Genomic DNA, 15,131 nt, shown 5'->3' on the forward strand with positions numbered 1-15,131 from the left:
GTTCAGAATACACAAATCTACAGAGACAGAAAGTGGGTTAGTGGTTGCCTAGGACCAGGGAAAGGGGGTCATTTGAAGGGAAATGGGGATTGCCTACTAATGGGTACAGGGCTCCTTTTTGGGTGATGAAATATTTTAAAATTGATTGTAGTGATGGCTTCACAATTCTGTGACTATACTAAAAATCGTTAAATGGTACACTTCAATTGTGTGAATTGTAAGGTATGTGAATTACATCTCAGTAACTCTCTTAAAAGACAAACAAAATGATACAAAACAAAAATGCCTACATCTTGAAGGTAGACATCATGTTTGGCACTTCTTTGTGCAATGAGAATGAGTAAAGGAGTGTACCTTGCTGATTTTGCACTTGATTGAGGTCCTCCAGCCATTCAAGTCTTCAGAGCATTGAAAACAATAAAAGGGTCTCCTTCTCAGTGATGTTTCTGAAGACTGCATGGGGCAGAGGAGAGTTCACCTCCCCGGGCAGTTTTCTTAAGGCGCTTGGGGAAGGCTGGGTCCAGAAATACCAACAACAGCAACAGGCACTGGAAAGCCGGTCCCCTTCCCTCTATGCCTGTGGCTGTTGGATACTCTGTCACCATTGGATTACCTCACAGACCTGCCCTTGTCACTGGTGGTCCCTTCTTATTGTCGTTGCCCACCATGGTGTGGGAGCCGTGTACAAGTGCCTCGATCTGCAATTATGTCTGGAAAAGTTAGGACGCTTCCATGAACTCTGAGTGCGAGTTCTCAGAAAGTCTGCTAATTACTCTCAGTTCCTGGAGAATCTCTTCCCAAGACCTTCGTCTACAGATGCAGATACAGAAGACAGATCTTACCACTTTGTGCTGTTCCCTGACCTAAAGGGTGCTTCCGGGAAACAGGCTCTATCCTGTTCCAAAGCTGAAGCTCTCCCCTTGCTGAACCCAGACTGGATCAATAGGCTTCGCCCTTATATTCCCTCCTGCCTCTGTCATCATCTTCTCCCCTCCTCCACCCTCTTTCTAGAGCTTCCAACTTCTTTTCTGGCAAGCAGTATCAGGAATAGATCAACACAGAATTCGAAATTAGACAAACCTGATAAGCATCTTCCCTCCTCTTCTTGCTATCTGTGTTAACTGGACCAAGTCACTTCACTGCTCTCTGCCTTTATTAGAGAGAATTATAGCTCCCTGGAGGGCGTGGGTAGTGGTGGTATCAAGAGTTAAGGAGATAATGCAACTAAAGCATTTAGCATGGTGTCTGGCCCCTGGTGAGTGGTCTGCAATTGATAGCAGCTGTTCTTATTTCCTCCTTTGGGCAGAAAGCTCACCCCAGATAGCGTGGTGTGGAGGCACCCTATTGTGCTGAACTCCCAGCGTCTTGGCTCTGCCGTCAGGCATGGTCCCATGGGGCTGGACTTGTAACATCTTCCTCCGCTTTTATGGGAATCGTCTCCCCTGCACGTTTTGATAGGGTAGAGGCAGCTGCCCAATTGCACAAACACACAAAACAGTAACTGTGGCCCCTCAGAGTTTGGGGTTTCTGGATTTGTTACTGGGGTGGGGGCTGGAGAAGAGGAGTGAGGGATAAACAGTCGCCACTTTCTTTCTTCCATCTGTCCCACTTCTTTCTGTGAAAGAGTGTTTAGTTCAGGACACTCATCTATACCCTCCAAAGCATTCAAATCTGAAGAAAAGTCAGTCCACTGACTAATGACTGATGATGTTGGTAAGATATATATTTTTTCTTTTGTTTTAAGAGATAGGGTCTCATTCTTTTGCTATTTTTTAGAGGCTGGTCTTGCACTCCTGAACTCAAGGGATCCTCCCACTTCCACCTCCTGAGCAGCTGAGATTGCAAGTGCATGCCCCTATGCCCAGGTTGAGGATATGTTGACATGTTTAAATGGAATGCATGAATGCACTGAGGCCCCTTGGTCATAAGCACTTTCCAGCAACCTCCATCCCAGGCCTCTCCCAGCCCCCACACACTCCAACACAGCCAAAGTGTTCTTTCTCAGGGCTGGTGACCTTGTTTAAGGAAGCCGGGGCATGGGGTTCTCATCAAGTCCCTGCACAGCTCTAAAGCCCTGGGCGTTCGATGTGTTCTCATGTTTTCTCGTAATGCGCAGTACTTGACTAGGGCTCAGTAAGTGTTTCTTGACTGGTTAGTCAGTGTGGGCTACTTTCCCTCTCCTTCCCTGAGAGCCCAGCTGAGTACGGAATGAAAGGGAAATGAAATAAACATCTCAGGCCCTGCAGCCCACCAGGGTCATGGTATTCACAGCGCTGCTGTGAGTCAGCGCTGACCCTTCTTTGTCATCGTCGGAGGCACCGGAACTAAGAGCATAAACAGAGGCGGAAGAGGAGGAGGGTTGGGAGCGGCGGGATTAGTCCCTGGGTAATGCTCTATCAAACCCCACAACTTTCAACAATAAACTTCCAGTAGAAACGCTTCTGAAGCCAGGCTGGTTTCTGTGCTCTCATGTACAGTATCACATTAGATCCTCTTAACGCCCCCGCAAGGGAGAGCTTTTTGCAAGTTAAAATTCAGTGGGAGCCATGAGCAAGTCCCCAAAAGGATCTGGTTTAGCTTATTTTCAGACAGACTTCTGCTGCATCAGAGAGTGGCGGCATGTGTTCTGTGTAGTCAGATATAGGGCCGGGGATTAGAAAAACGGAGCAGATGTTGCACCATTAATTGTCTAGGATTAGACAGTCTGGAGGTTCAAGATTCGAACTTCAGTTTGCAATTTTGCCCACAGGTATTTAATGAAACAAGGCATTTCCTTGGGGGCTTACAATGGAATTTAAAGGCCCCAAGGGTTTTACATTTAAGCTCGAATTTAAGCTTGAATTTAAAGCTTTTCCTACACACCTTGATTTACAAATGCTCCAAAACTAGGACAGAGAGAGGTTAAGTAACTTGTTCAATGCACTGCCATAGGTTAGGGTCAGTGGTAAGACCAGAAACAAGGTTTTCTGTTTCCTAATTCATGATTCTTGTCGATTCCTCCCTGTCTGGGCCTTCGTTCTCATCTAAAGCCTATGTGTTGAGACTATGGAATACTTGCTGTCTTTCCTTAATGGGAAGGGGATGATGAGGCAGCCTAAAGCTTAGACACGACTCAGTGTTTTTCAGCATTGAGAATGGATCAGACTCAAAAGAATAAAGATCCAGTCACCTTTTTTTTTTTTTTTTTTTTTTTTTTGAGACGGAGTCTTGCTCTATTCCCTAGGCTGGAGTGCAGTGGCGCCATCTCTGCTCACTGCCTCCACCTCCTGGGTTCAAGCGATTCTTCTACCTCAGTAGCTGGGACTACAGGTGCATGCCACCACGCCCGGCCAATTTTTTTTTTTTTATTTTTTGGTAGAGACGGGGTTTCACCATGTTGCTCAGGCTGGTCTGCAACTCCTGAGCTCAAGTGATCTGTCCGCTTTGGCCTCCCAAAGTGCTGGGATTCCAGGCGTGAACCACCACGTCCTGCCCCAGTCACCTTTTGAGGTGAGCTTTGAAGAACTCTATTTCCAAGTCTTGGCAAATAGCTCCTGCAGGATTTTGTTGGTCTGGTTGCTGCCAATTTTCGGTAGCAAATAATCCCACGCAATAAATAATTCTTTTGGTTCATGTCTATGTCATGTTTGATGATGAAATAACATATATGTTTGCACTTGCATTTGAGGAGACACACTTGCACCCTTAGCCACTAAGCTTGCATGGTTATTAATGTTTCCAGTGTGTTGATCTTGGTTTCCTAATCAGATGATAACTTTCTGGAATGCAGAGACTATTCCTTAGATTTCTTTGTATTTCTCACAGTATCCACACTATTTTGTATTGTCAAGTGCTAGATTTTGTCATACAGTAGATGCTTTAAAAATATGAACAAAATGGGCCAGGCGTGGTGGCTCACACCTGTAATCCCAGCACTTTGGGAGGCCGAAGGGGGCAGATCGTGAGGTCAGGAGATGGAGACCATCCTGGCTAACATGGTGAAACTCCATCTCTACCAAAAATACAGAAAATTAGCTGGGCGTGGTGGTGGGCGCCTGTAGTCCCAGCTACTCAGGAGGCTGAGGCAGGAGGATGGCCTGAACCTGGGAGGCGGAGCTTGCAGTGAGCTGAGATTCACTGCCCTCCAGCCTGGATGACAGAGCGAGACTCCATCTCAAAAAATAAAAAAATAAGAATAAAAATAAAAAATAAAAAAAAAATGAAAAAAATGGTTTATAAAGAATTGAGTGAGGCTAAGGCAGGAGGATCGCTTGAGCCCAGGAGTTTGAAACCAGCCTGGGTAGCATAGGGAGATCTCATCTCTGCAAAAAAACACAAAAATTAGCTGGGTGTGGTGGTGTGTGTCTGAGGTCCTGGCTACTCAGGAAATTGAAGTGGGAGGATCACTCGCCTGGAGGTCGAGGCTGCAGTGAGCTGTGATCACAGCACTACACTCCAGCCTAGGGGACAGAGTAAGACCTTGTCTGAAAAAAAAGAAAAGAAAAGAAAAAAGAGAAAAAACAATAGAGAAAAAGCTGAAATGAGTTCTTTTGTGTTTCACTGGCAACTTGGGCCAATAATTCCACTTCCGTATCTTTCTCTACCTCAGACATTCCGAACAGCAGACCAGCCACCTACAGACCAACTTTTAAAAACCCTGAGCTAGCTCGGAGAACAAAAAAAAAAAGCTTTGGGCTATCTATGGAGATTTATTGAATGAGAAAAGCTAGAGTTAGAAGACGCCATTGAGACCATCTAGCTTGATGCTCCCTAAACTTTTCTCCTGGTAGCAAAGCAGAGTAGGTGTCTCCCTAGGAGTGGCATAATTTCTTTTAATCTGTGCGCTTTTTCTGTAAAAAATCATCTCTCTCTACCTACTGTCTCTCTCTAGCTACTGGGTTATAGGGCCATCCTGCAGACAGCTTTCTCATCACCAGTGGCCCCCTCCAGCAGTGGCCCCCTCCAGCAGGCTGAGTCATTCAGGTGGTCTCCATCAAGAATTTGGAACTCAAGCAGTCTGGAAGTTAGAGCTCTAGAAAGAAAAACCCAGAAAGACCTGCTGCGGAGGGCTTCAAAGTTGCCCGGACTCCACCATTACCAGTGCCTCTTGTTCAGACTCTGAGATGCCCCAACATCCTGCTGACACTTCACTTGTAGATGTAAGCTAGCTTGATTTGATCTATCTATTCTTTTCCATATACACCCCTTTTCTTACTTTTTTTTTTTTTTTTGAGACAGGGTCTTGCTATGTTGCCCAGGCTGGTCTCAAAATCCTGGGGTCAAGCGATCCTCCTGCCTCAGCCTCCCAAAGTGCTGGGATTACAGGCATGAGCCACTGCACCTACTCTTGTAGGTATATGCTCTTTAACAGATATGTGTCCGTTTTATACTCAGTTCTCTTATTGCAGTTATCTCCATAACTGCAAGACTGGGCTTAGTGGCTCGTGCCTGTAATGACAACATTTTAATTTAATGAATGAGCATCCCTTGCCCATGATTAATTTAGATATCCTATGAATTTAATAATGTAATACAATTTGCTAAACAGACATTTGCACTAAAATAGAGTAGAAGATGTATCAGGTTGAACCGCTTGAAATTCCTGGTATTTGACTATTTTTTACCTACAGCAATTTCATATGATTCAGAGTAATGTATCTCAAGTTAACCAGTAGGAACAGCAAGGAATAGTCATGGGCTACCTAATGACATTCCAGTCAACAATGGACCTCATATACAATGGAGATCCTTTAAGATGATAAAGAAGCTAAAAAATTCCTACTGCCTAGTGACGCTGTAACTGTCCTAATGTAGTGCAACACATTACTGAGGTGTTGTGAGGGTGATGTAAGTAAACCTGCCTCACTGCCAGTCATATGAAAATATAGCACATACAATTATGTATAGTACATAATACTTGATAATGCTAATAAACAGCTATGTTACTGGTTTATGTATTACTACACTACAGATTTTTTTTTTTTTTTTTGAGACGGAGTCTTGCTCTTCGCCCAGGCTGCAGTGCAGTGGCGCGATCTTTGCTCACTGCAACCTCTGCCTCCCGGGTTCCCGCGATTCTCCTGCCTCAGCCTCTCGAGTAGCTGGAACTACAGACATGTGCCACCACACCTGGCTAATTTTTGTATTTTTAGTAGAGACGAGGTTTCACCGTATTGGCCAGGCTGGTCTCAAACTCCTGACATTGTGATCTGCCCACCTTGGCCTCCCAAGGTGCTGGGATTACAGGCGTGAGCCACTGCGCCTGGCCTATACTATAGTTTTTATCCTTGCTCTAGAGTGTACTCCTTCTGCTTATTTTAAAAAAAAAAAAAGTTAACTGTAAAGCAGTCTCAGGCAGGTCTTTCAGGAAGTCTTCCTGGAGAAAGCATTGTTAGCCTAGGAGAGTAAAGCTCCACGCCTGTTACTGCCCCCGAAGACTTTCCACCAGGACAAGATGTGGAGGTGGAAGATAGTGATATTGATAATCCTGACCCTGTATAGGTCTAGGCTAAAGTGTGTGTTTGTGTCTTAGTTTTTACAAAATGTTAAAAAAAAAAAAAAAAGACATAGAATAATGATAAAAAGAAAACATATTTTTGTACAGTTGTACAATATGTTCGTGTTTTAAGCTAAGCATTATTACAAAAGAGAGCTGTAACTCTTAAAAATTTTAAAAGATTATAAATTTTATAAAGTAAAAAAGTTATTGTAGGCTAAGTTTAATTTATTATTGAAGAAAGAAACATTTAAAAAATTAAATGTAGTGTAGCCTAAGTGTACAGTGTTCATAAAGTCTACAGTCATGTACAGTAATACCCTGGGCCTCCACACGCACTCACCACTCACTCATGGACTCACCCAGGGCAACTTCTAGTCCTGCAAGCTTCATTCATGTTAAGTGCCCTATACGCATATACTATTTTTTGTCTTTTGTACCGTGCTTTTACTGTACCATTTCTGTTTAGATACACAAATACTTACCATTGTGTTCTAACTACCTGTAGTATTCAGTACAGTGCCATGCTGTTTGTTACAGGTTAATAGCCTAGGAGCAACAGGTTATACCACACAGCCTATGTGTGTAGCAGGCTATACCATCTAGATTTGTGTAAGTGTACTCTATATGACATATTATGTTCCCACAATGCCAAAATCACCTAAAGATGCATTTCTCAGAATATATCCCCACCATTTAGTGATTCATGACTGTATTAGGTTTTCAGTTTACCATTCATTCACTCACACTCTCAATAAATATTTCATTGAGCACCCTTATGTGAAGATCAGTGCATTAGATGCTTACAGAGCCACAAAGCAGAGTCCAATACAGACTCCATGCTCAAGGGGTTTGCTGGGGTGGTTTTAAAATGTAAGGTAGAAAATGATACATATAATAAATAAGATTAAGTACTATGAGAGAGGAGAGAGAGATTTCTTGTAGCTAAGAATATGAAAAGTTTCATGAATGTGGTAGTCTTACAGTGGGACTTTTATGTTTTTATGTTCAAATTTTCAGTATAAGTTTCCCAGAGAGGTGGAAAAAAGTATGAGCTGGGAGAGGGAGAGAAAGCCGGGAAATTATGATTCATGCACAGTAACCAGAAATTAATGCTGAAATGCAGTGAAGGAGAATCATGGGGAAAAACATTGGAAAAGAAGGTTGTGGCCAAATTTAGGGAGAATTTTATAGCAATGAGGAATGACAAACATTTTCCAACTAGGCAATAACATGGTTAGAGTTGAATTATAGGAAACGTGACCACACAGCATGAGGAGGTTGAATTGGAATGGGAATTACTGGTGACCATGGTCCAGGACTAAGGTGATGAGGAAGTAGGATAAAAGCAGTGCAAGGATTTGTTGAGGTTTAGTCTGGTCTAACCAGGCCAAGATAACCACCAGGCCAAGATAACAGTGTCTGGTCTAACCAGGCCAAGATAACAGTGTGAATTCTCTTTGATATTTCAGAAATGAAGATTGGTGCTATCACCTTCATTCTATGAGATCCTTACACAGAAGGCAGTTACGATGACTTGCTTCCAACAGGCAGGCAGCGTGTACTAATTTGAAGTAAGGAGTCAGTCCGAAGGACTTACGATGTTAAGCAAAGAAAAATAAAAATTTTTGGACTCATTTTATCTCACTTTCACCGAATGAAGCCTGAGCTCACTTCTTCTATTTGCTCTTGGGCATTTGAAATCAGGTTCTTGACAGATATTTGAAAACCAAATAATGTACAGAGAATTTTGAAGTTTTAGCCAAGAAAAGCTCTCTAGGTAAAAGACAGTGGCAGTAAAAGCAGCCCTGAATTTTCTCCCTTATATTTCATATTGGGGTTTTCATTTATTCCTGTTGGAGGAGGCATAGTGGATCTCTGGAGCTCTCTGCTGTTCAAATCTAGGAGGGTTTTGTGGCTTAGTTTACAAAACAGACGAAGCTTTTCACATCGGTCCTTTTTGGAATAACTGAAACCATGCATACCTTCCTGCTGTAAACAAAAGGAAAACTGGAAAAATATATGAGACAAAAGTTTTTTCACATTGGAAAATAGGTAGCATAGAATTGTGGTCCTAAGAGAAATGAAACAAATAAGGTGAGCCCTAAGATTTCCCCAGCTTTCTACCTGGGGCATTTTCTGGACATTAGCATGGGGAGGTGATCCCAAGAGAACACGACAGTCTTTCTGAGTGGTACAAACAGAAGATAGAATTTGGGGAAGCTTACGCAGTTAGAAATTCTGGAACAGTAAGAGATGAGGGAGCTGCATAAAAAAAGAGATCCGGCCGGGCGTGGTGGCTCACGCCTGTAATTCCAGCACTTTGGGAGGCTGAGGCGGGTGGATCACGAGGTCAGGAGATTGAGACCATCCTGGCTAACACGGTGAAACCCCGTCCCGTCTCTACTAAAAATACAAAAAAATTAGCCGTGCGTGGTGGCGAGCGCATGTAGTCCCAGCTACTCGGGAGGCTGAGGCAGGAGAATGGTGTGAACCTGGGAGGCGGAGCTTGCAGTGAGCCGAGATCGCGCCACTGCACTCCAGCCTGGGTGACAGAGCGAGACTCCGTCTCAAAAAAAAAAAAAAAAAAAAATGAGATCCAGCCGGGCGCAGTGGCTCACGTCTGTGATCCCAGCACTTTGGGAGGCCGAGGTGGGAGGATCACTTGAGGTCAGGAGTTCGAGACGAGCCTGGCCAATATGGTGAAACCCCATCTCTACTAAAAATATGAAAATTAGCTTGGCGTGGTGACAGGCGCCTGTAATCCCAGCTACTCAGGAGGCTGAGACAGGAGAATAGCTTGAACCCGGGAGGCGGAGTTTGCAGTGAGCCGACATTGAGCCACTGCACTCCAGCTTGGGCGACAAGAGCAAAACTCTGCCTAAAAAAAAAAAAAAAGAGAGAGAGAGAGAGAGAGAGATCCAGAAACCCACATAAGAATTCTCCTAAATTTGTTGCTCAATACTAAGCTACACAGCATAGGGTGAAACTCTCACAGGCCAGGTAAGGAACAACCAGGGAGCAGGAGATTGAATAGCTGCCAGAGTCAGTCTGCAAGATGTTTTAGTTCTGAGCAGCCAGAGTGGAGAGTGCTTACTGAGCCTCCAGGCTGAATGGAAGCTCCAGAGGGTCTCGTCATAATAGGGGGGCTAAACTAGTGCTAATATAAGGGCTTCTTTAAATCTGCCCTATAAAGCTTAAAAACAAGCCTTGAAAGGAGCAAGCCAATCCATAAGGAACTTAACTGTCTGCCAGAATAAAATGTAACACTCTCAACACTTTTTAAAGGAATGCAATAAAATTCAACACACGAAATACAAATTATGATTTCTAGCCCCCAATATGAAATTAATAGACACAGAAAGAAGCAGAAAGATGAGACCATAATGGGGAGAAGTATCAGTCAATGAAAGTAGATGCAGAAATGACAGAAATGATAAAATTAGTAGACAAGGACTTTTATATATTTATTTATTTAGTTAGTTCTTATTGGAGACAGAGCCTCTCTCTGCCACCCAGAGCTGGAGTGCAATGGTGTGATCATAGCTCGCTGCAGCCTCAAATTCCTGGGGTCAAGCTATCCTCCCACCTCAAAATTAGCATAAAATTGCTCAAAAATTCAAAGGAACATATGAAGAAAAGAAAGAAATATACATATATAAAATAAATACATGGAATAAAAATAGAAATATGAAATGAAAAATTCACTGAATAAGATTAATAGAAGTTTAGACTCTACAAAAGAAAAGATTAGTAAACTTGAAGATGTAGCAATAGAAACTATCTGGCCAGGTGTGGTGGCTCACGCCTGTAATCCTAGCACTTTGGGAGGCCGAGGTGGGCAGATCAAGAGGTCAAGAGATCGAGGCCATGCTGGCCAACGTGGTGAAACCTCGTCTCTACTAAAAATACAAAAATTTGCTGGGTATGGTGGCGGCCACCTGTAATCCCAGCTACTTGGGAGGCTGAGGCAGAAGAATCACGTGAATCAGGAGGTGGAGGTTGCAGGGAGTGGAGATTGTGCCACTGCACTCTGCCTGGCGACAGTGAGACTCCATCTCAAAAAACAAAAAACAAAAAAACAAAAAAACCCCCCAAAAAACCCACGACAATAGTAACTCTCCTAAGTGAGTTACAATTTCACTTTAATAAGCTAGTGGGAAGAAAAAGAAATTAAATCTCACCCAAAGTAAATCCCTGGAAGGAAAAATAAGGAGCAGACATTTTCATTTATTTCAGTGAAAGTAAAATTAGAGAAAATAAAAATCAATGGAAAAGAACAAAACCTTTTTCTTTAAAAAGATAAAAATGACTAATCTCTAGCTAGACTGATCTCAAGAAATAAAACAGAGAGACATAAATGACCAATGTCAGAAATGAAAGAAGGGATATTACCACACATACTCATATATTAAGAACACGAAACAGACTTATATCCCTGCTTTTGTGATGGAGGTGTGGTAAGAAACTCAGGAAATGGATTTTCGGGTGGAGAGAAAAAGGAAGAGTATAAAGAATATTCATTTGGTCCATGTAGGTGACCCTATGGAGAGAAGGGTGGCTTGGCATTAAGAACAGTTATGGAGGCTGGGAAGGTTGGGGAGATAGTGGTCAAAGGACACAAAATTTCAGTGAAATAGAAGGAATAGATCTATTGTACAACACGGTTACTGTAGTTAACAACAATGTATAGTATCCTTGAAAATTGCTAAGAGAGTAGGTTTTAGATGTTCTCACCACACAGAAAAATGGTATTTGAGGAAATGCATATAATACACTCAATTTAGTTATTCCACAATGTATAGATATTTCATAACAAAAGGTTGTATGCAATAAATAAATAAAACTTTTGTCAATTTGAAAAATAAACTAATGTTTTTTTTTTTTTTAAATCATCTAGTTAGTCCCTGGTGTGAATATTGGAGTGGTTGTGTTGCATTCCATTCTGACTTTTTAAAATTTAGGCCTGTTGAGGAAGGCCACACCTTTTGGGTGAGTCTGGCATCCCCTGCAGTGAGTGCTCATTCTTTGTGAGGAGAAAAATTCTCTTGGGTCTTAGGTGGAAAACAGAAAGGTAGACCTTTAAAAGATGTGAGAGTAGAAAAGAGGACTTCCTGCTCTCTTTCTTGCTTGCTTTTCTCCTGAATCTAGGACTGTGGATGCTGGAGGCCTGATAGGCATACCTGGAGTGGTGTTTTGATGGTCTCTGCCATCATGTGGGAGACGGTTGAGAGCAGGAGGGATAAGTGACAGTAGTGGCTGTTAGCTAAAGATGAGTAAAGTGTATCTTGCATGACCCATGTAAAAGCCTTAACTGATACAACCTAGCAGTAAAGTGTTGCACCTAAAGAACAATTTAACAGAAAATCAAATTCTTACTGACGGCTTCCAAACTCATTCAGGGAGACATAAGTACAGTCTAGAGACTCTCTTATTAACATGCTGTGTCTTCACTTATTCTCTAGTGCTCAACAACTCCTGGACACCTCTAACCCAGAAGATCTTCTTCTTCTCCGTATTATCCTGTCTCCATGTTCTACTCCTTCTATCACCTCTCAATCTGGCCCTGTTCTTCAGAAAACTCTGCTCCAAATAGTTGTCCCTCCAACCTCTCATCATACAAAACTCCCTAGGGAATGTTTTTCGTCGTCTTTGACTGTTTTTTATTTCTAGAATCCAAGTGTGTGGAATTTTTTTTCTTTTAAAGTAAGAAAAAGGGCAAGAGGCTATTGTGGTGGTGATGGTGTGAAGGGATAAGTTTCTGAATCCCTACGCAGACATCTTAAACTCTGACATACTTGTAAGCTTGGTAATTTAGTTTGATGTTATTTTAGGCATTCATTTTCTCTTTATTTTTTATACATTCTTGGGTCTTTATAAATATTAAATATTTTGTAATTTATCATTTATGCTATCGAGAAAAGTAATATAATATTGATAGAGGAAAATTTAACATTGAATAGAAAAGCATTGAAGATATGCATATCTTTACCAATTTTACTACTAGGAGAAAATCTTGAAATCATTTTCAAGTTGTGCAAAAATTTAGCCAGACATTTCTATAACTACATTCATGAAAGTGATGTATTAGAAAGAAACTCATGTCCACTGATATGGACAATATCACTGTGGAAGGGGGTCAATAAAATAAATTATAGTATATACTATCTAAAATAATGCTGTGAAATACTTCTTGATGACAAGGTTTAAAAGTTTTATAATATATGTTAAATAGTTGTGGAAAACCATATGACTAAAAGATCTCATTTTTATAAAAATGTAACATTTACAAAAATATTGAATCATAGGCAACAAACTATCTGTGGTGGTAGGGGACAGGGTATTTTTCATTTTTGTGCTTTTCTGTTTTTGACAATGTATGTGTGTAGTAGGAATGTGTTTGTCTGCCTGCAAATTACAGAAAGCTGATTTCAGTTGCTCATCAAATAGATTCCCCACTTCATTTACTGGAAATCTGAGTGTAGATGGCACCTGGCCTTGGTTCAGCACTGATAATGTCATTGGGGGAACTGGGAGCCCTTTCCTACACCCAAGTCTCTCAAAGGGCTGGCTCCTTATCCTGAGGTCTCTGCTCAGCATGTCACCAGCATCTCTGAGAGTCTTAGAGCCTTTTCCTCACATTCACCCCATGAGCCAGAAGATGCTGCAGTTCTAGAGGTCATGATCATGCCTGCATTCCGGGCAGAATTACTCCAAAGGAGGAAGCAGCAACATGGCAGGTCACCACTTTCGTCTTATCATCAGAACTGGAACCTGTGCCCTCTGCCCTCTCCCCAACTCCAAGGGATGCTGGGGACTTGAGTATCTCAGTTTTTCCAGCATTGACAACTGAGAGTTGTCTAGGATTGTTTGGTAGAGTCAACCTCTGACATCTGCCCCAGTATGTATTAATTGACAACAAGGTAACATTTTTAAAAAGAGATTGCTAATAATCAATAGATTATTTTATTGGAGGCCACATGAATGCTGTAGAGTGTAGAATTTGATGATACAATTCCAATTGGTTGTTTTGCTAATATTTGTTATGTGCACAACATTGTGCAAGGGGCTTGTAGAGGAAAAGGAAATGTCTGAGATGATCAGCCATCGGGAGACAAATACTGCTGTCTAGGAGACATGTCTTATATTCAGAGCTCAGTATAATACTGCATTCTAGCAGACAGGTCCTATATTCAGAGCTTAGTATAATACTGCAGTCTTGGAGACATGTCTTATATTCAGAGCTTAGTATAGAGTAGGATACATACAACAGGAAGAAATATCAAAGCCAATGGTAGAGACAAATATTGCTCTAAGATATCAGCAAGTGTCCAAGGAGTTTCCTGGGGGAGATCACACCCAAGCTGGGCTTTAAAGCATGTGAGGATTCAGAGGAAGGCTTCTTTGAGCATGGCAACATCATGTGGCCATGCACCTGTCATGTGGGGGCCAGTGATGAGGCTAGGCAAACTTGAAATCAAGAGTAGAGGGTGCCAGAGAGAGCTTGAAAAGGTTTTCAAACAGATATTGAAGTATTTCCATTCCAAGGTGAAGGAAGCCACATCTTGTTCCAGGAGCTCGTAGCTCATCCCTGTGACATTTGTTCTGCTGACTCAGCTTCTCCGCAGGGCTGTTCCTGTTGTTTGCAAGGGGCCTAGATGCCAAGAGCTTGATTCCTGCCGTCAGGCATCTGCCTGCACTTTCTACCCCACTGGGGGATGCCCTGCTCAGACCTCTGTCTCCTGGTCTCACACACCTACTTTGCCAACTCTGCCGTTTGCTCTCTCCCACCCATCAGCAAGAGTCTTTGGTGATGACTTTGTGAGGCCACCTCAAGTGCCAGCATCTATGAGTTGTGACTTGTGACATGTGGCTGGGGTCCTTTACAAGATGCTTCAAGAAGCTGATTTCAGGCACTCTGGATACAAGAGATGAATGACAGTTGTAGTATTAACCCAGGAAGTATTGGAAGATGGGGGTACTGTTATCAACGTCCACTGCGAGCATTGTAGGGCAGATCTGAGTGCTGGAGGACCCATGGGCCAGGGCTCAGTGGTGACCACAGAAGGAGCACTGGATTGAAAGCAGGCTCTGCTACTGACATGCAATGGAAGCTTAGGTCTTGGAACCTTGTATAATCTCTCTGGGCCTTGGCTTCCTCATCTGTTAAATGGAGGTATTAACACTTGCCCTCCTCACTCCAGTTTAACAATCCTTATTTATTGAACACACTTTATATGCCATAATATTTCTAGTCTGAATAAATGAATCAACAAAGCCCCAGGACCCCAGACTCACACATGTACACAAACACATATGCACACACAGAATGGCCATTCTTAGAGGGACCTTGGAGGTGGAGTAGTCCATTGTAGGTAGAAGAAAGGCACAAAGGTTAAGCATGAACATAATGTATTAATTGTGGAATGAGATATGAGTACCAACTGCCAGGCTTCCTTGCACGGATCTATCTCAGCACAAGACTTCATCCTTCCCATTTGTCCGCACTCAGTATTCAAATATAAATAAGCCTTAGTTAATGCCTGTCCTCAAGTAGCTCACAGTCTAATGAGGAAGCTGATACAAATGCAGATAACTGCAATATAAATGGTAAATGGTGCAGCAGTGCTAAGTCAGTGAACCAGTGAAGTGAGGT

General features: G+C 42.4%; 1 annotated feature.

Annotated features, from left to right (window-relative positions):
- Positions 1,556–2,172: an enhancer, noted in NCBI's record as "H3K27ac-H3K4me1 hESC enhancer chr8:20186237-20186853 (GRCh37/hg19 assembly coordinates)". NCBI's record gives its function as "activates a minimal SCP1, AML or CMV promoter by ChIP-STARR-seq in primed H9 embryonic stem cells {active_cell/tissue: H9 hESC(primed)}" and the evidence as "EXISTENCE:reporter gene assay evidence [ECO:0000049][PMID:30033119]".

The sequence above is a fragment of the Homo sapiens genome, chromosome 8, assembly GCF_000001405.40.
Source record: "Homo sapiens chromosome 8, GRCh38.p14 Primary Assembly".
Taxonomy (NCBI): Eukaryota; Metazoa; Chordata; class Mammalia; order Primates; family Hominidae; genus Homo; species Homo sapiens.